At 40.4% G+C, this 20,446-nt stretch overlaps 1 long non-coding RNA gene and 2 pseudogenes across 2 annotated transcripts, besides 3 other annotated features; 2 read left to right on the top strand and 1 right to left on the bottom strand.

Annotated features, from left to right (window-relative positions):
- Window positions 364-538: a silencer, noted in NCBI's record as "fragment chr13:47040866-47041040 (GRCh37/hg19 assembly coordinates)". NCBI's record gives its function as "represses an EF-1alpha promoter that drives an FKBP-Casp9 reporter gene in an ReSE screen in K562 erythroleukemia cells {active_cell/tissue: K562}" and the evidence as "EXISTENCE:reporter gene assay evidence [ECO:0000049][PMID:32094911]".
- Window positions 493-12,066, top strand: LINC01198 (long intergenic non-protein coding RNA 1198). The gene is made up of 6 exons (NR_120426.1): window positions 493-660; window positions 1,282-1,360; window positions 2,450-2,528; window positions 6,099-6,324; window positions 9,356-9,429; window positions 11,758-12,066. It is a non-coding gene; the product is annotated as a long intergenic non-protein coding RNA 1198 (long non-coding RNA).
- Window positions 1,255-1,909: an enhancer, noted in NCBI's record as "H3K4me1 hESC enhancer chr13:47039495-47040149 (GRCh37/hg19 assembly coordinates)". NCBI's record gives its function as "activates a minimal SCP1, AML or CMV promoter by ChIP-STARR-seq in primed H9 embryonic stem cells {active_cell/tissue: H9 hESC(primed)}" and the evidence as "EXISTENCE:reporter gene assay evidence [ECO:0000049][PMID:30033119]".
- Window positions 1,910-2,565: an enhancer, noted in NCBI's record as "H3K27ac-H3K4me1 hESC enhancer chr13:47038839-47039494 (GRCh37/hg19 assembly coordinates)". NCBI's record gives its function as "activates a minimal SCP1, AML or CMV promoter by ChIP-STARR-seq in primed H9 embryonic stem cells {active_cell/tissue: H9 hESC(primed)}" and the evidence as "EXISTENCE:reporter gene assay evidence [ECO:0000049][PMID:30033119]".
- OR7E101P (olfactory receptor family 7 subfamily E member 101 pseudogene) lies at window positions 6,081-6,690 on the bottom strand (annotated as a pseudogene).
- LOC112268117 (keratin associated protein 21-1 pseudogene) lies at window positions 8,084-9,205 on the top strand (annotated as a pseudogene). Its single transcript, NR_158370.1, has one exon. The product of NR_158370.1 is annotated as a keratin associated protein 21-1 pseudogene (transcript).
- Window positions 12,067-20,446: the final 8,380 nt, after the last annotated feature.

Raw genomic sequence — 20,446 nt, 5'->3', positions numbered from 1 at the left:
GGGTGCCACCCCCCCTGCGATGGGGGTCCCAAGAGCCACGGGGGGAAAAGGGGCTGGCTCTCAGCCACCACAAAATGGGGGGCCTTTATGTTCAGGTTTTGCCCAAGAGTCAGCTTATTTGCTTCTTGTACTAGCAGGGCAGTTGCTGCCAAGGCCCTCAAACAGGGGGGCCATCCTTTAGAAACCCTATCTAGTTGTTCAGAGACGTAGGCCACCGGCCTCAGCCAGGGCCCCACAGTTTGGGTTAAAAGTCCAGCTGCCATCTTTTCTCTCTCTAACGCATACAATGGCAAAGGCTTTGTCAGATCGGGTAGCCCCAGGGCTGGGGCTGCCAGAAGTTTTTCCTTTAAGTCATGAAAGACTTGCTGTTCTTGGGATCCCCATTCCAAAGGTTCCCGGTCCCCGCCCCCTTTGTGACCTCATACAAAGGCTTGGCTAATACTGCAAAGTTTGGGATGCACAATCTACAAAACCCCACAGCCCCTGAGAATTCTCTCGCCTGCCTTCGGCCCTTAGGCTCCGGGAGATTGCAAATAACCTGCTTTCTTTCTGTTCCCAGGTGGCGTCGGACCCCTGTCAGAGAGTAAATCTCAAGTAAGGTACCTGCCATCGGCAGATTTGAGCTTTCTTCTTGGACACCTAATACCCACAGTCCTCCAGGTGAGTCCTAAAGATCTTAGGATCCGCGATGGGGGTCCTAAGGCAGGGGGGGAAGAGGGGATGGCTGTCACCCAACCCAAAATGGGCGGCCTTTATGTTCAGGTTTTGCCCAAGAGTCAGCTTATTTGCTTCTCGTACTATCAGGGCAGTTGATACCACAGCCCTCAAACATGAGGGGCCATCCTTTAGAAACCCTCTCTAGTTGTTTAGACACGTAGGCCACCGGCCACAGCCAGGGTCCCAGAGTTTCGGTTAAAAGTCCAGCTGCCATCTTTTCTCTATCTGACGCATTCAATGGAAAAGGCTTGGTCAGATCGGGTAGCCCCAGGGCTGGGGCTGCCAGAAGTTTTTCCTTTAACTCATGAAAGACTTGCTGTTGTTGGGATCCCCATTTCAAAGGTTCCCGGTCCCCGCCCCCTTTGTGACCTCATACAAAGGCTTGGCTAATACTGCAAAGTTTGGGATGCACAGTCTACAAAACCCCACAGCCCCTAAGAATTCCCTCACCTGCCCCCTTTGTGACCTCATACAAAGGCTTGGCTAATAATGCAAAATTTGGGATGCAGAGTCTACAAAACCCCACAGCCCCTAAGAATTCCCTCACCTGCCTTCTGCCCTTAGGCTCCGGTAGACTGCAAATGACCTGCTTTCTTTCTGTTCCCGGGCTGCGTTTGGACCCCTGTCGGATAGTAAATCCCAAGTAAGGTACCTGCCCTCGGCAGATTTGAGCTTTCTTCTTGGACACCTAATACCCACAGTCCCCCAGGTGGGTCCTAAGGTTCTTAGGATCTGCGATGGGGGTCCTAAGCCGGGGGGGATGAGGGGCTGGCTCTCAGTCCCCGCCTCGCCGGGGGTGCCTCCCCCCCCTGCGATGGGGGCCCTAAGAGCCAGGGGGGAAGTGGGGCTGGCTCTCAGTCCCTGCCTCGTGGGGGGTGGGGGGTGCCTCCCCCTCCTGCGATGGTGGTCCTAAGAGCCAGAGGGGGAAGAGGGGCTGGCTCTCGGTCCCTGCCTCGTGGGGGGTGCCTCCCCGCCCTGCGATGGGGGTCCTGAGAGCCGGTGGGGGTGAGGGGCTGGCTCTCAGTCCCCGCCACACGGGGGGTGCCTCCCTCCCTGCGATGGGGTTCCTAAGAGCCTGTGGCGGAAGAGGGGCTGGCTTTCAGTCCCCGCCTCGCAGGGGGTGCCACCCCCCCCTGCGATGGGGGTCCCAAGAGCCACGGGGGGAAAAGGGGCTGGCTCTCAGCCACCTCAAAATGGGGGGCCTTTATGTTCAGGTTTTGCCCAAGAGTCAGCTTATTTGCTTCTTGTACTAGCAGGGCAGTTGCTGCCAAGGCCCTCAAACAGGGAGGCCATCCTTTAGAAACCCTGTCTAGTTGTTCAGAGACGTAGGCCACCGGCCTCAGCCAGGGCCCCACAGTTTGGGTTAAAAGTCCAGCTGCCATCTTTTCTCTCTCTAACGCATACAATGGCAAAGGCTTTGTCAGATCGGGTAGCCCCAGGGCTGGGGCTGCCAGAAGTTTTTCCTTTAAGTCATGAAAGACTTGCTGTTCTTGGGATCCCCATTCCAAAGGTTCCCGGTGCCCGCCCCCTTTGTGACCTCATACAAAGGCTTGGCTACTACTGCAAAGTTTGGGATGCACAGTCTACAAAACTGCACAGCCCCTAAGAATTCCCTCACCTGCCCCCTTTGTGACCTCATACAAAGGCTTGGCTAATACTGCAAAGTTTGGGATGCAGAGTCTACAAAACCCCACAGCCCCTAAGAATTCCCTCACCTGCCTTCTGCCCTTAGGCTCCGGTAGACTGCAAATGACCTGCTTTCTTTCTGTTCCCGGGCTGCGTTTGGACCCCTGTCGGACAGTAAATCCCAAGTAAGGTACCTGCCCTCGGCAGATTTGAGCTTTCTTCTTGGACACCTAATACCCACAGTCCTCCAGGTGGGTCCTAAGGTTCTTAGGATCCGCGATGGGGGTCCTAAGCCAGGGGGGTATGAGGGGCTGGCTCTCAGTCCCCACCTCGCTGGGGGTGCCTCCCCCGCCCTGCGATGGGGGCCCTAAGAGCCGGGGGCAGAAGGGGGGCTGCCTCTGAGTCCCCGCCTCGTGGGGGGTGCCTCCCCCCCTGCGATGGGGGTCCTAAGAGCCGGGGGCAGAAGGGGGGCTGCCTCTGAGTCCCCGCCTCGTTGGGGGTGCCTCCCCCTCCTGCGATGGGGGCCCTCAGAGCCAGGGGGGGAGAGGGGCTGGCTCTCGGTCCCTGCCTTGTTGGGGGTGCCTCCCCCCCTGCGATTGGGGTCTTGAGAGCCAGGGGGGAAGAGGGGCTGGCTCTCAGTCCCTGCCTTGTTGGGGGTGCCTCCCCCCCTGCGATGGGGGCCCTGAGAGCCAGGGGGGAAGAGGGGCTGGCTCTCAGTCCCTGCCTCGTGGGGGGTGCCTCCCTCCCCTGCGATGGGGGTCCTGAGAGCCGGGGGGGATGAGGGGCTGGCTCTCAGTCCCTGCCTCGTGGGGGGTGCCTCTCCCCCTGCGATGGGGGCCCTGAGAGCCGGGGGCGGAAGAGGGGCTGGCTCTTACTCCCCTGCGATGGGGATCGTCATATCCACAGGGCGAGAGGGGGGTGATATGACTGCCTGCCTTGCGGGTGGCGCCCGCCCCCCTGCGATGTGGATCGTCTTATCCAGAGTGTGAAAGGTGGGTGATATTACTCCTCGCGTGGCTGGGGGTCGCCCGCCCCACTGCGATGTGGATCGTAATATCCAGAGGGTTAGAGGCCGGTGATATTACTCCCTGCATCGCGGGGGGCACCTGCCCCCCTGCGATGTGGATGGTCATATACAGGGGGCCATAGGGTGGTGATATTACTCCCGGATTTTTCCTAGGGTCCTTTCTATACTGCCACCCTCGGTTCACACCCTGGAACATTATCTTCCATATTCTAGCAAGATGCGGCTTCTAACGTCGCAGGGGGTATACACCCTTCAATATTATTCGTAATTTTGTAGGGGAATGTTAAACCTGATGTCACAGGACTCTGTACACTGTGATGTTATTCCCAATATCCTAGCTTTACCTTAATAATAATGTCACATTGTGTGTACACCTTGTGGTGTTATTCTTATTCTCCTAAGGGGAGGTTGCATTTATTGTGACACGGGGTATGTTCCTTTTGATATTATCCATAATGTCCTAGAGGGATGTCACCCCTTATGTCACAGGGTTTGTACACCTTGTGAAATTACTCATATTATCCTCATAAGATGTCACTCCTCATATCACAGAGGGTGTACACTCCGTGGTATTGTCGTCATATTCTAGGGAAATGTTACTTTTAATGTCACAGAGGGCGCACAGCTTGTGAAATTATTCGTTATAATTTTGTGGGATGTTACCCCTAATGTCACACGGCGTGTACACACCGTGATGTTACGTGCAATATGCTATGGAAATGTTACTCGTAATTCAGAGGTCCTGTACACCCTTTAATATTCTTCGTAATCTTCTAGGAAAACGTTACTGCTAATGTCATAGGGCCTGTAGACCCTGTCATAAAATTCCTAATATCCTAGCGGGAGTTCACTACTAATTTCACAATGTGTGTACACCCTTTGATATTATTTGTATTGTCCTGAAGAGATGTTACTACTGATGTCCCAATGCAGGTACATTCTCTGATCTTACTGGTTATATCCTCGGGGGATGTTACTTCTAATGTCACCCGGGGTGTACTCCCTGTGTTCTATTTCGTAATATCCTAGGGCAATTTTACTTTTAATGACACGGGGTGTACACATTGTGCTATTATTTGTGATATTCTAGAAAGATGTTACTCCTAATGTCACAGGGCTGTGCACCCTGTGATAGTATTCATAATTTCCCAGGGGTCTATACTCCTATTGGCACAGACGATAACACCCTGTGACATTATTCGTAATATTCTAGTGAGATGATACTCCTCATGTCACAGGGGGTGTACACCCCCTGTTATTATTCTTACTATTCTAGGGGGATGTTACTCCTAATGTCACAGGGATGTACACCCTGTGATATTATTCATAGTGTACCAGAGGAATATTAGCACTAATGTCATGATGTGTGTACGCCTTGTGATATTATTTGTCATATCGCAATGTCACAGGGGGTGTGTTCCGTGTGATATTCTTCCTAACATCCCCGACGGATATTGCTCCTAACGTCACAGGGTGTGTACACCTTGTCACATCATTCATAATATCCTAAAACTACGTTATTCCTCAGGTCACAGGGGGTGTTCACCCTGTGATATTTTTCATCATAGTTTTGTGGGATGTTACTCCTAAAGTCACACGGGGTGTACACAGAGTCACACAGTGATATGAGTTGTAACATTCTATAGACATGTTACTTGTAAATCACAGGGGCTGTACCTCCTGTGATATGGTTCCTAATATTCTAGGGGAATGTTGCTACTATTGTCACGGGGGTGTACACCCTGTGATATGACTCGTCATATCCCAGCGGAATGTTACTACTAATGTCACAATGCCTGTACACCCTGTGATACTATTTGTAATATGCTAAAGAGATGTTACTACTAAGGTCACAATGTATGTACACCCTCTGATATTGTTCGTTATATCCTTGGGGGATGTTATTCCTAATGTCACACGGGGTGTACTCCCTGTCATATTATTCATAATATCCAAGGGGGATGTTATTTTTATTGTCACCGGGGGTGACATTACATATTAAAAATGCATATTCAACACCTGTGATACTATTCCTAATATCCTAGGGGCATGCTCTTCCGAATGTCACATGGGGTGTACTCCATGTGTGTACACCTGCTGTGATATTATTCATAATATCCTAGGGGAATGTTACTCCTGATGACACAGGCGGTGTACACCATGTGTGTAACCCTCCTGTGTTATTATTCATAATATCCTAGGGGGATGTTTCTTTTAATGTCACAAAGTGTGTACAAAACGTCACAGAGGTGTACACGCTGTGATGTGATCTGTAATACCCTAGAAGGATGTTACTCCTAATGTATCACAGGGGTGTACATGCTTTGATGTTATTTGCAATCTCATAGAGAGATATTACTTCAAATATCACAGTGGATGTACACACATAGTATATACCCTGTGATAGTATTCATAATATCCTAGGAAGATACAACTCCTGATATCAGTGTGTGTACCCCGTGTGTGTACACCCTTGATGTTAGTCGTAATATCCAGGGTAAATATTACTCCTCATATCACACAGTGTGCACACCCTGTGATATTTTTCCTCATACTTTAGGGAGATATTGCTTCTAATATCACAGTGGGTGTACCCCATCTGTGTATACTCTGTGACAGTATATTCTATATCCTAGGGAGGTATTACTCCTAATATCACATTGTGTGTTCACCCTGTGATATCATTCTTATTTGACCTTGCTGCCTTTTTTAACCCACACTACAAAAGGAATGGAACAGATAAGAAGATACTGAAATTGGACGGTGCTGCCGTGCGGCTGCCGCAGGACACCTTTAATATCCCTGTTTCTCAGGCTGTAGATGAAGGGGTTCAGCATGGAGGTGATCACCGTGTACATCACTGAGGCCACTGCAGCCTTTCTCGGGGAAGATGACACATCTGAACTGAGGTACCCTCCAAAGCCTGTTCCGTAAAATCAGCAAACAACTGACAGGTGAGACCCACAGGTGGAGAAGGCCTTATACTTCCCACGTGATGATGAAACCCTCAGAATGGAGGAAACAATTTTATAGTAAGAGAAAAGGGTCCCCGAGATGGGAAGAAAACCAAATATGGCAGCAGGCAAATACATGATTATGTTATTGGTGAAGGTGTCACAACATGCAAGATGGGGGAGTTGAGAAGGGTCACAGAAGAAACTAGGAATTTCCGCATCCTGGAAGCAGGTCATTTGTAAGGCAATCAAGTTGTGCAGCTGGGCGTCTAAAGGACTGAGAAAAAAAAAAAAAAAGACAAAACTAGAAAGCCACAGAAACACGAGGTCATGATGGGGTTCCTAAGAGCCAGGGGTGGGAGAGGGGCTGGCTCTTACTTCCCGCATCGCAGGGGGTGCCTCACCCCCCTGCACTATTCACAATAGCAAAGACTTGGAACCAACCCAAATGTCCTTCAGTGATAGACTGGATTAAGAAAATGTGGCACATATACACCGTGGAATACTATGCAGCCATAAAAAAGGATGAGTTCATGTCCTTTGTAAGGACATGGATGAAGCTGGAAACCATCATTCTCAGCAAGCTATCACAGGGACAAAAAAAGAAAATGCCTCATGTTCTCCCTCATAGGTGGGAATTGAACAATGAGAACACTTGGACACAGGAAGGGGAACATCACATACTGGGGCCTGTTATGGGGTGGGGAGAGGGGAGAGGGATAGGATTAGGATATATACCTAATGTAAATGACGAGTTAATGGGTGCAGCACACCAACATGGGACATGTATACATATGCAACAAACTTGCACATTGTGCACATGTACCCTAGAACTTAAAGTATAACAACGACAACAACAACAAAAATATATATATATATTTAAAATGAAGCTGGTTTGGTTTTAAAAGTCTCCTCAATGACAATTACTTATATAGCTGAAGAAATGGGAGACAAAAGGAGGGCTTCTCTGCCTCCCCAGGGTCTTGGTTTGCCTGGAGGATGGAAGGAAAATATAAGAAGCACTTGCAGATAGCATACAGTCTGGCTTTGAATGATCAGATGTGAATATGTTTCTTGGGATTTGAGGGAGGTTGGACAAGGGGTAGGTGTGGAAGTGCAGAGTGAGTTGGAGAAAGAAGTCTGGCAAAGAAGTTGTAATGACTCAGGAAAGGGAATAGGGTTGTCTCTTTCCCTATGGGTAGAGGTAGATATTTTAGGAAAAAAGAGAGAGAGAGAAAAAGGATAAAATTTTGTTATGATCCCCCCAAAACTTGTTATGTAAGATATATATCTACTGATAGGACATTTTGAAAATTAGTATCAGCTTTATATTTGGGCACATGATTTCACTGAGATGGTTCTTGGGCAGAGCAGATTAAAATGATGTTCCTGAAATGAAACTAGAGTCTCCAAAATAATTGGCTCATTTTAAGCAAAATATTATTGATGATCAACAGTGACTGGCACATAATAATTGTTTAAATATTTGTTGGCTAAGTCAGGGAATGAATGATATGCTTTGGCAATTACTGACAGTATATAAAGGTCTCAGGGAAGTAGAAGACGTCCACACCTCAGAAGCATCTTCTTGAAACCCATCTCAAGTCTCTCCTCTTGACAACTGTGTTGCAACTACTACGGCAACTCCTGTGGCTATGGCTGCAGCTATGGCTGTGGCTATGGCTCTGGTTATGGCTGTGGCTATGGCTCCAGCTATGGCTGTGGCTATGGAACTGGCTACAGCTGTGGCTATGGCTCTGGCTCTGGCTGTGGCTATGGAACTGGCTACGGCTGTGGGTATGGCTGTGGTTATGGAACTGGCTATGGCTGTGGATGTGGCTCTGGCTCTGGCTACTGTGGCTACCGGCCATTTTGCTTTAGAAGATGCTATTCTTCCTGCTAAAACATCACTGTCAGAGGACCATTTGCTTCTAAGATGACACGTCTAAAGATAATACTGATTCAAGGATTCATACTCCAAGATTTCTATATCCAAGGATTACATGCCTGACAGAGTCTTGGACCTCTAGCCTCACATTTCTTTGAATGAAATCATGGCCATAGGATCCACGGTGTCATCTGACTGTTTTCCAAATGTTATCTTTTGCTCCCTTAATCTCTGATTCTCTGTTATGACTGTGTTAATGATCATAACATCTACAATTGGGGAAGTCAATCATTTGTAATAAAAATGGTTCTTTATTCCAAAAAAAATGTTTAGTACAAAAGAGTCAAAAAGCTAAAATAAAATATAGTTTATAAAGCAAAAAATTATCAGTAAGCTAAGTTTAATGTATTATTGAAGAAATAAAATGTATTTTATACATTTACCCTAATGCCTAATGTTTAAGACATCTACTGTAGTGTACAGTAATATCCCAGGCCTTCACATTCACTCACTAATCACTCACTGATCCACCCAGAACAATTTTCAGCCCTTTAAGTGCCAGTCGTGCTAAGTGGTCTATATAGGTACTGTTTTATTATTATTATTATTATTATTATTATTTTATACTGTGTTTTTACTGTATCTTTTCTAGATTCCAATAAGTTGAGATACACAAATATTTATTATTGTGTTACAATTGCCTATATTATCCAATATGGTAACATGCTGTGCAGGTTTGTATTCTAGAAGCAATAGGCTATACCTTATAACCTAGGTGTGTTCTAAGCTATACCATACAGGTTTATGTAAGTACACTGTGAAATCTGCATGGCAAACATCATTGCCTTATGATACATTTCTCAAATTTTCAGAACATATCCCTGTCGTTTAGCAGCACATGAATGTATTTGATTTATTGTCTTGATGTCCCTTTGCTTTCCCCATGTGTTACCATCAACTGCCTAATGAAACAGCCTGGGATTGTGTAATGACTAACTTAGTGCTTTGAGTTTAATTCTTTTTCAGCCACTGTGGTATGTTGATTACTATATTAATAATGTGTCTCCTTTATGTGCTTTTAAATAGTTACTTGGTCATGAACTATTGATAAGCTTTGGAAACATGATTTCATTTATTCTGCAGGATAACTTCAGGAAGTGGGTATTAATTCTCACGGTATAAGTGAAGACATTAAGCACCAGAGTTTAAGTAGCTTGGTAAGTGTTATTCCAGTAATTAAATAGGCGTAAATAGAGTTCAACTTTCTCAGTTCTATCTATAATTTCTTTCTATGTATGGGCTTATTTATATCAACCAGTATACACCTTGGTTTCGGCAATCAGTTATTGACTTTCTTTAAAGAAGGAAGAGAAGAAAAAAAAGGGAAGAAAAAACAAAAACCATAACCCTCTTTTACTATCAGACACCACATTTTTCTCTTCCACATTATCTTCTTTAAAGAACTGCATGTTGCAGAGTCTATGAGTGCAAGTGCTAGAAAGGCCAGGTAGAAATATTAAAAGTGATGCAGTTCAATACTGACAGTGATGAAATACAGAATGTATGGACCCTAATGTCCATAAAATGTGGCACAAATACACCATGGAATACTATGCAGCCATAAAAAAGGATGAGTTCATGTCCTTTGTAGGGACATGGATGAAGCTGGAAATCATCATTCTCAGCAAACTATCGCAGGGACAAAAAACCAAACACTGCATGTTCTCACTCATAGGTGGGAAATGAACAATGAGAACCCTTGGACACCAGAAGGGGAACATCACACATTGGGGCCTGTCGTGGGGTGGGGGGAGGGGAGAAGGATAGCATTAGGAGATATACCTAATGTAAATGATGAGTTAATGGGTGCAGCACACCAACATGGCACATGTATACATATGTAACAAACCTGCACGTTGTGCGCACATACCCTAGAACTTAAAGTATAATAATAAAAAAAAAGAGAGAATGTATGGACCCTATAATCTCAAGGAGGGGCGGCAACCCGGTTGAATATTTTTTCAAGCCAGTTTAGGGAAAGATTGATAAGGTTTCCAATTTTTCAAAAGGACCCATAATCCAAATTTTTATATGAAATCTAATTTTTAATTTGAGTTGGAAATTAAAATCGATGTGTTATTTATGTTATGATCTCTACTTTTGGTTCTATGAGATTATTACTTGTTTAACTCACTGTAATCTGAATTCTGCCACCCACAAGCCATATTAATGGAGATCGTGAATGACTTACATGTTGTCTTTTGAATACATATTAATTTGCATCTTAATTGACCTGCAAGCAGTTTAAAACTCTTCAGGTGTGTTTATCAAAAGATGCCTTCATGTGACTTTTTATCTTTCTCTACTCTTTCATCAATCTCATTTATTATTAAATTTCAGTTATCAGCTGCCATGCCAGTAACTGCCAACTCTAAACATTTATCACAGTTTACTATGCAAGCTTTATAGGAATATTAATATACCTCATTCACATATTCAGTATACATCTTAAGTATTAATTCCCCAAACATATGATTGTCGTTCAGGAGACTTTCTTTGAACCTCAATAAATGTCATTACACTTTATAGCACTCTATTTTTGTTTCATAGAACTTCACTGTTTTATTAATCATTTCTTTGGATAATATCATATATCTTCTACAAAAGTATAATTTCTATAGGGAAGATAATTTTATTTCTTATTTTTACTGTGACATTTTAGCATCTACTATGCTGGCCAGCACGCCACATATTTGTCAATAAATAATGTATTGACTCTCAGCTCCAAATTTACCCCGCAATCACTCTGCCATAATGTGTGGAATTCCTCTTGTATTTACTTCCTCATAGTGAGCACAGTATTCAAGTCTTCTCAGTAGAGGGCACCGGAGAGATGTTGTAGAGGAAAGGGCTCTCCTATGGTGCCTGGCTCCTTACAGTGAGTGGGCGGTGTGAGTGTGAGAACATCTAGAGGTGCTATACTTCAGAATCTGAGGTCCCTCAGGAATCTTACAGCTGGGGCTGGCTTCCTGCAGCCTTCTCAGCATGGACACCACAATTTGCAGGCTTCATACCTCCACAGGTTTTTTGATTCCCTCTGCCCACCTGTGTACCTGGGCCCTTGCTAACTTTTGCCTGTGGCCTGCTTGCAGTTAAGAATTTGTCATTTAAAAAAAAAAAAAAAAGAACTTGTCATTGGCAGCCAGGCGCGGTGGCTCACGCTTGTAATCCCAGCACTTTGGGAGGCCAAGGAGGGCGGATCACGAGGTCAGGAGATCGAGACCATCCTGGCCAACACGGTGAAACCCCGTCTCTACTAAAAGTACAAAATTTAGCCGGGCGTGGTCGCGGGCGCCTGTGGTCCCAGCCACTCTGGAGGCTGAGGCAGGAGAATGGCGTGAATCCGGGAGGCGGAGCTTGCAGTGAGCCGAGATCGCGCCACTGCACTCCGTCTTGGGCGACAGAGTGAGACCCCGTCTCAAAAAAAAAAAAAAAAAAAAAAAGACTTTGTCATTGGCTCACTCCTTCTATATCCTTTTACCTAGATCCACTGAAAGAGATTCAACTGTGTGGAACCTATGCCGTGGAGAATTGCTTTCTGCCATTGTTATCGTCCAGCAGTTGCCGAATAGCTCTGACCTGAGCAAAGCAGTGAAACGCGGTGCTGTTGAGTGGGTTGCCACTGCACCTTTTTCAACTACTCTAGTCTTGTGGAGAAAATACCCCTTCTAAATTTTTTCTTCATTGAATACTCTCCCTCAGCTCCAGAGTACCATATAGAGTTTTCTTGTATTTTAGAGTTACTGTTTTATCAAAGTTTACCAGTCTTTTGTATTACATTTCTCCTGTCTAAATCGACTGTGTGGTTTCTACTCATTATGGATATAGATTGATACAAACTCAATAAATATTTTTGAATGAATAACTCCACAGTCCAAGTTATTTTAATCACTATACAAAATCTCCAGAGTTTCTCCCATATTTCTGAACATGGTAACTATGTATCAAGAGACAAACCACAAATTTAAAGAAGGTGTGGTCAAATTTTATAAGTGTTTATAACATTTGTAAATGTTTGGCATCTAGAATACATGTATAATTCCAACAAATAAATAAGAAAAAAAAATAATCCAGTGGGATATTGGGCAAAATATTGAAGCCAAAGTGTCATAAAAGAGGAAATATTACTTTTTAATACACGTGGAAAATGTGTACCCACCTGAGCAATCACATAATGCAAATGAAAGTTAAAACAAAATACAACAAGGCAAAAAAAATTCCCTTGCTTAAGCCTAATGTAAACAAACAAACAAAAATTCATCAAAAGACTATTAGTTTCTATACAGTCAAGGATAATGTCCAAAATCTGGAGCCGGGAACTGATTCAGTGAGGAAACCAAGCTCACCACCATTAAAGATAAGTTGCTATAACTTACATGGGTGTCACTATTGTTTCAGTAACTTGATCTTGCCACTACTGCTATTGCTACCAGTGAGAATTTTATAGTGCTTAAATGTATCATTATATCATAATTAAAATTCTGGGGAGTGGGTTAATCTAATTGGTAGAGCTTAGGTCATCGGGCATACCCTAGCTGCAACAGAGACTGAGATAATGATTACCGTTATCTTCAGCTTCTATAGTAGGTGGCAAACTCTGCATTGCAACAACAATCACAAAATAAAAGGTTTCTCAATCATATAAAGGTGATTAAGATACTGAGCAGCCGAAATGCACATATGTACATAAACAGACACTCTCATTACACATATGCCCAAAGAGATTTATTTCAGTATTCTATATAATATTAAAAAATTGAAGAAAATCTAAATATTGGCCAATACAAAAATGCTTGAATAAATGGTGACATGTTATTGGCAGACATTATTATTAGCAGCCATAAGTCAGTCTCTATATGCCACTTTCTCTGGCATTCTACTATGGAAAATAAACAAATAAACACTTTCAAAGTTTCTCTTTTGCCTTTTAGTCCATGTAAATTATATCTTGGTTAGTAATATTTGAAGAGAGATCTCCTGTGAGGTTTATGAGAAAGTTATTTCTCTTCCTATAAAGACGTGTGTGTGTGTGCGCGCGCGTGTGTGTGTGTTGAGGGGCTGTACATAGGAGACCAGCCTAGTTCTTGCTTAATAGTGAGGGCATAATACGGTGAATTGAAGCAACTACCTTTCAGTTATGAGGCTACGGGTCTAAGAATGAATGTGAGGATTGCTGATGGAAAGAAGTGAGCCTGGCCTACAATAACATTATTTAGTGACTGACTCTCTGTCCAAATCTTTATTATTTGAGAAAACAACCCCTAAATTTAAATGGAAGGTTGTCGGGAGTTTCTATTAAGTAAACTGAAAGTATCCTTAACTTACTCAGCATTTATTTCATAGAATATTAAACAGCACTTGATTATGCTGGACCCAAATGCATCAATGGGAATAAATCTTAAAAGTATAATGTTGAGTAAGAAACCACTATGTTTGGAATAAGTATAATATGATGAAATGTATTAATTAAGAAAAATTATAAAACATTTCTGAATATTGTTCAAGCATACGTATTTAATGATAATGTGAAATATGAATAAGAAAGTTGCACAGCGACACCAGAGAGGGAAAGAATAAAATAGAAATCGTTCAGGAGAGGAAAACTTTGACTCCCTCTTTAATACTCAGAAATAATATAAAGCAAGTTTAATTAAAATTGTTGAATATGGAAGTAAATACATGGATGTCTATTATATTATGCTATTTTGTTTTGTATGTTAGGCATATTTCAAACTTAAAAACTTTTAGAGTGCTTTCCAAAGTAATGTGCAATTAAATTCTTAGAGAAACACTGTAAAGAAAGTAGTATTGTCTCATACTACAGAGTAAACTACTGAGCCTCACTGACATGAAGTAATTTGCACAATTGTTTCTACTCCAATTGAAGTATTTTACAAATTGTTATGTCACAACCTGGGATTTTTCTTTTGCGTTATCATCATAGATATTCAGGAAATATCTACTCATATGTTCATAAAATTGCCTTAAAATGTTTTTTACCAAAGAGACAAATGTTTTCATAGCCTTCCTTCTTTGAAAAACCATTTATAACTTTAAACTCATGATAATGTGTTTCAAGAAATACGTGAAATATGAAATTTTCCCACAGATTAAGTGGTAAAGATGAGAGCTCAGTGGTGGATAAAGGACAATAATAAATAGCTATTTTTGTATTTTTCCTTTTTTACATATCGCTTTTCTTCACTATAAATCAAATATACATTAAGTATTTTATTAAAATAAGTGAAACACTAGAATCTAAATATCTACAAAAATTAAGTGAAGAAATATATCAGAACCCATTGTAGGTTGAGCATTCTGAATCTGAAAATACGAAATGCAAAACGCTTCAAAATCTGAAACATTTTAAGTGCTAATATGATGCCACAAGTGGAAAATTCCACACCTAACTTCATGGGATAGGTTGCAGTCAAAAGGCACAACCCACAGTTTATTCAGCATCTCCAAGGAAAAATGACCACCTTAGCCCACTTCAGCTGTGATATATCTTCTCCATGCCCTTCTACAAAGGGTAATAACATGGCACATGCACAGGCTGGATGTGTGTTCCCACCAGTGCCCTACATGGGGCCAAGACCTACGTGCATTACTGACTGTGCTTTTTCTTGCTTATTCTCTGCTCTTTGGTGTAAAGACATTACTGAAAATGTCAAAAAGGTCTGCAAATACCTCTGTGGGTAATGGTAATAAGAAAAAATGAAAGCATTTCTGTTTATCTATATAAGAGAAAGTCAAGTTGCTAGAGAAACTGGACAGCAGTGTACGTGTGAAACATCTTACAGAAGAATATGGTGGTAGAATAACTGTCCTATATACCCATGGAGAAACACAAGGATAGACTGTTGAAGATCTGTGCTGAAAGTGATGAGCAGAAGATATTGAAAAATACAAAAACACTGCATAAAGCTAAAAATAAATATGTAAGTTGTGTAACCAAAGTGGATATGTTAGCATCCCTGAAGAAACACATATCTACCCCTGAAGAAACTTAAGGGTAAACTGCTGAAGATCTGTGCTGAAAGTGATCAGCAGAAGATAATGAAAAATACAAAAACACTGAATAAAGCTACAAATAAATATGCTTTATTTATAAAGCATGCCACTTAATGGTGTGTGGATCATGACATTAGCAAAGATCAATTACAATGAACTAGAAAATTGAAGAGAACTCTGAATATTAAACAGATTGGTTGCAAAAATTTAAGAAAAGTCATGACATTACATTTTTAAAGATTTATGGTGATAAAGCATCTGCTGACCATTAGGCTGTAGATAAATTTATTAATGAGTATATCAAGATTATCGCTGATGAAGATCTGATGCCAGAACAAGTCTATAATGCTGATGAAACATTCATTTCTGTTGTGGTGTTGTTGCTCTAGAAAGACATCGACTAGAGCTGATAAGACAGCCACTATAGGAATTAAGTATGCCAAGGACAGAATAAGTGTCTGGGATGTACTAATGCAACAGGCAAACATAAGTATAAACTTCCTGTGATAGGAAAAAGCTTGCATCCTCACTCTTTTCAAGGAGTAAATTTCTTAGTCCATTATTATGCTAACAAGAAAGCATGAATCATCAAGGCGTCTTCTTTGACTGGTTTCACAAACATTTTGTACCAGCAGCTCAAGCTCACTGCAGCGTTGCTGGACTGGATGATGATTGCAAGATTTTGTTTTTCCTTGACAACTGTTCTCCTCATCCTCCAGTTGAAATTCTCATCAAAAATAATTTTATGCCATGTGTTTTTCCCCAAATATGACTTCATTAATTCCGTCATATCACCAACATATTGTTAGATCAATAAAGAGTAAATATAAAAACACTTTTTTTGAAGAGCATGCTAGCAGCAGTGAACAGAGATGTGAATGTAGAAGGTTTTCAAAAGAAGTTTAGCATGAAGGATGCCATCTATGCTGTTGCCAATGCTAGAATAAAGTGACTAAAGACACAGTTGTGCATGTCTGGAATAGCCTCTAGTCTGTAACCATGTTTAGTGATGATGATGAATAAGGTGGTGGGTTTGAAGGATTCCACATATCAAGTGAGGAAAAAAAACGATGTCTGATCTCCTTACATATGCAAAAAATACCTTCAGAGTCCCTCAGTAAGCCGGAAGAAGTGGAATTTAGGAAGTTTTTAACAGTGAGAATGAGAATGCAGTTTTTCATTCATTGACTCATGATCAAATAGCCAAAATGGTTCCGAATCAACGTGATCATGAAAATAGTGATCATGAAGATGATTTATACGTTGCAGAAAAAGAGCCCACGACAACATGGTGAAAATATGTGATGAGCTTATTGAAGGCCTAAAGCAGTGTGCACTCATAACAGAAACAGAAATCTTCTCAGTTCATAAAATCAGAAAGTGACTTCTAAGACAAAGAGTGTTGTTAATGAGACAGATGATTCTGGAGGAAGCATTTAAAAAAGCCATCCAGCTGAATGTCTCCTCATCCCTAGAGGATCCACTTCCTGGTTGGCGACTGTTTCTAGTGTTTTTTTCTCACCTACAAAAGATAAAATACTGTCTACAGTAACCTTTTAATCAAATCACAGCTTCTTAGGTGGAGACTGAAAGCCTGCTCTTATTTTTTGTTGCTGTTGTTTAACAGCTGTTAAAGGTATTCTGGTGAAGCTAGTGTGATGATTAGTTACCTTAAACATATTATTTTTTCACTGTATTAATATTATGTCATATTTATTATGGTTAAGTGCTTATGTGTGAAAAAAATATAAGAAAATGCTTATCAGTAGTTATAAATTCAGAGTTAGGAATGATGGTGTTGCCAAAAAAAAAATCCCCACAGACTGTTCACGTGGGTGGCTGAGATAGTAGCACTTTTGGTTTCTGATGGTTCACTGTACAAGAACTTTATTTTATGCACAAAATTGTTAAAAATATTATGTAATGTTAGCTTCAGACTATCTTGGTAAAGTGCTTATGAAAAATAAATTTTGTGTTTACATTTGTGTCTCAACCTCAAGACGTCTCATTATGTACATGCAAATATTTCAAAATCCCAAGCAATTCAAAATCTTACACACTTCTGGTTCCAAGAATTTTAGACAAGGAATAGTTAATATGTATGAATAAACAGCACTTAAGAGAGAAAATGAAATTAAATAAAAGCTGAAAGAAGAATAAAGAAATTTTACTTCACTAAGAAAAATAAAAATAGCAAAGAAGAAATGCGATGTGTTACTGTGCTAACCTAGAGTTAGAGTTATGCTACCATTGCAATGACTTTCAGGAATATTTGATGATATCAACAAGGTATTGCTTCTGCAATACATGGAAAAGGCTATAGAGATAGTTTCGGCTTAATTGAAGTGGAGCTAACATTGTTAGTTTTACTAACAATGGAAGTGATATGCATGATATTAGAATTATATAATTGTTCTGCAGGTTTTGATTGCATGCTCTATGTCACCCATTTTTAATATTACAAAAGTACAAGAGTGGGAAAAGTACAAATGGGCATTATTTTTTGTGTGTGCTTAATGTGTTGCCAAAATGTAAGGGCTGGTGATTGGTAATTCTATCAAAAAGAACACACACACTGCATACATACATATCCTGGAAAGAGAAGATTTAAAAGAAAAGGAAATTAAGATCAATAGAGTCTGTGCTAAATAACAGTTGACATAACAGACATTGTATACTATTTCAAACAATAATTTCCATAATAGCTATAAGATAGGTTACCATTATTATTCAAATTTTAGAGATAAGGAAACTGAATTATGGTTTTATTTAGCACTGGAGAAAGCACAGACAGTAAGTAGTAGATATTTATTTAAAACAATATTCATATTTTATCTAGAGCCCACAGTTTGAACATAATATCATAAAGGATTAAGTTGGAAAAATTAAGAACTATTAGAAGGTGATGACAGTCCTAGGTTTACATCATATTCTTATAATTTATTAATTTTTCTTCCATATTTATGTGTATTTTCTGAACCCGTTTCCTTATCTTAAAAATGGAAGTGTTAATACTAGTCTTGTAAGAGTTATTCTATCTTTCCCACAATTTTATCATGGACAGAAAAAAAAACTGATAGCTACATATAAACGCATGAAAAATGAAATGATATTCATTGTTCAAATATTTTATCACATATATGTACACCTCTTGTTAAACTTTATTTTTTCACAGAAAATGATACAAGTTATTATTAAATTTGTTGCTTAATCAATGTCTTATAAGCTTAATTTATAAGTTTGTAGTTGGCCATTTTATTCTCTATTTTATTGAGAATTATTCACTAACCATGCAGTAGTATTTTTAGTACCTTTCTTTTTGATCATATGAATGATTTTTTAAAAAGTGAAGATAGAGTTTTGTGGATTAAATACCATTCAAATTATAATTTATTGTTTTATTTCACTGGCACTGCTAGAAAACTAGTAGGTTTAACTATGTAAAGACGCTCCATGTTTTTCATATTTTAACTAAATGTTATATTTAGTTTAACTATATAAATATTAACTTCCTAATACCCCAATATATTACTCACAAGCCATGAATGAACATACTTTACATGGTAGTCAGTAAAAAACAACTTTTACAAGTAGACTCAGATGCCAGTATGTAATTCCCAAAAGGCTAAGAGGCTAAGAACTTGGTCTTGTGTACTGCTGTATTACTAATGGCTGAGAAAATGCCTGGGACTCAGTGAACACTCCATAAATATTGATCCTATGAGCGTGAGAGTGTGTGTGTGTGTGTATGCACGCATGTGTCTGCGTGTGTGTGAGAGAGAGAGAGAAGGAGAGAGAGAGAAAGAAGAGAGATCAACTTCCATCTCATTATTTCAGGCAAGAGCCACCATAAACAATGTGTACTAAGTCGTAAGAAGAAATGGAATTAGAGCTTTATTTTGGAATAAGTACTCACTGATATTAAGCAATGTCAAACATACAGAAGATTAACATAATGTTCAGGATTTGAGTAAAAATAAATCAGAAGAACTGGGAGAAGAATATATCTGCTTAAGTTTTGAAACCCTACAAAACAAAGTAGCAGCTTACATATATCAAAGTCTGGCTGTTTAGTAATTATTTTCTACTTCTGTTTAATTTTTATTGTGTGTGTGTGTGTGTGTGTGTGTGTGTGTGTGTGTGTTTGTGTAGCCTTAAATTTGCAGAATAACTTAGGACCATTTCACATTATTATCAAATTAATGCAGCAAATGAGGAAAAAAAGTCAGTGTATCTACATCAAAAAACAAGGGTTATTTTTAACATTAATAGTAATGAAATATTTAAATGCACTGTTTAAACTTCAAAACAGAAGTGATAGGTGCCCATTTTTAATGAGAGGAGGTAAATGAACATTTGGGAATTTTCCAACAATTCCACAATTAAAGAATACATAAAAACTAGATATTGAAAATGTGTATATCATCAGGGTGTTTGACTAAAATGTACTGTCTGTTTTGATGAACCAAAGCAAGGAAGTGTTTCAGGAGTTCATCAGTGTTGAACAGTTGCTGACAACTTTGTTCTAATTTTTGAAAACAATCGTTTGCTAAATTATGGGGTACCTGATGAATAACTTTAATTAGATTAGCATCAAGAAAAAAGAATAAAAAAGAATATATTCTTTAACTACATCAAGATCTAAGCTTATGTTTATATTCAGTGAAAGAAATCTATTAATGAGAAAACCTTTTTGTTTTTCCCAAAAAATACAATTTAAAAAGCAGATGTCTATCTCTTACGGTCCACTGTTTTCCTGGTTTTAATACCAGGGTGTGCTTCCAGTTTTAACCTCCTTTAGTCCCCTTGATGGTAGAAATCTTTTTCGGAGCCAACATCATCATTTCTTAGGGCATATATCAAAAGCTTAACATATTATTTCAGGCTGAAAATATATCAGTGCAAATGTAATTGCAATCTCTGCAGCATCAAAGTAGAAATACCCAGAGTTCATGATTGGTCATTCTTATCCATGAATGTATCATAATAGGCTGATATGCTCCCTTTCCCAGGAAACAAATTTTCTTTTGGACATGGTCCTTCTGATTAAATAATATCTTATCACAAAGAATGACACTAATCGTAGAAATTTCAGGCCTTGGACATTTCATCACTGATCCAACCTGGTAAGTATAGAACATTATTAAAGGGGAAAAAAAG

The sequence above is a fragment of the Homo sapiens genome, chromosome 13 (genome assembly GCF_000001405.40).
Source record: "Homo sapiens chromosome 13, GRCh38.p14 Primary Assembly".
In the NCBI taxonomy this organism is placed as follows: Eukaryota; Metazoa; Chordata; class Mammalia; order Primates; family Hominidae; genus Homo; species Homo sapiens.
This window is presented reverse-complemented; position numbering and strand designations above follow the sequence as displayed.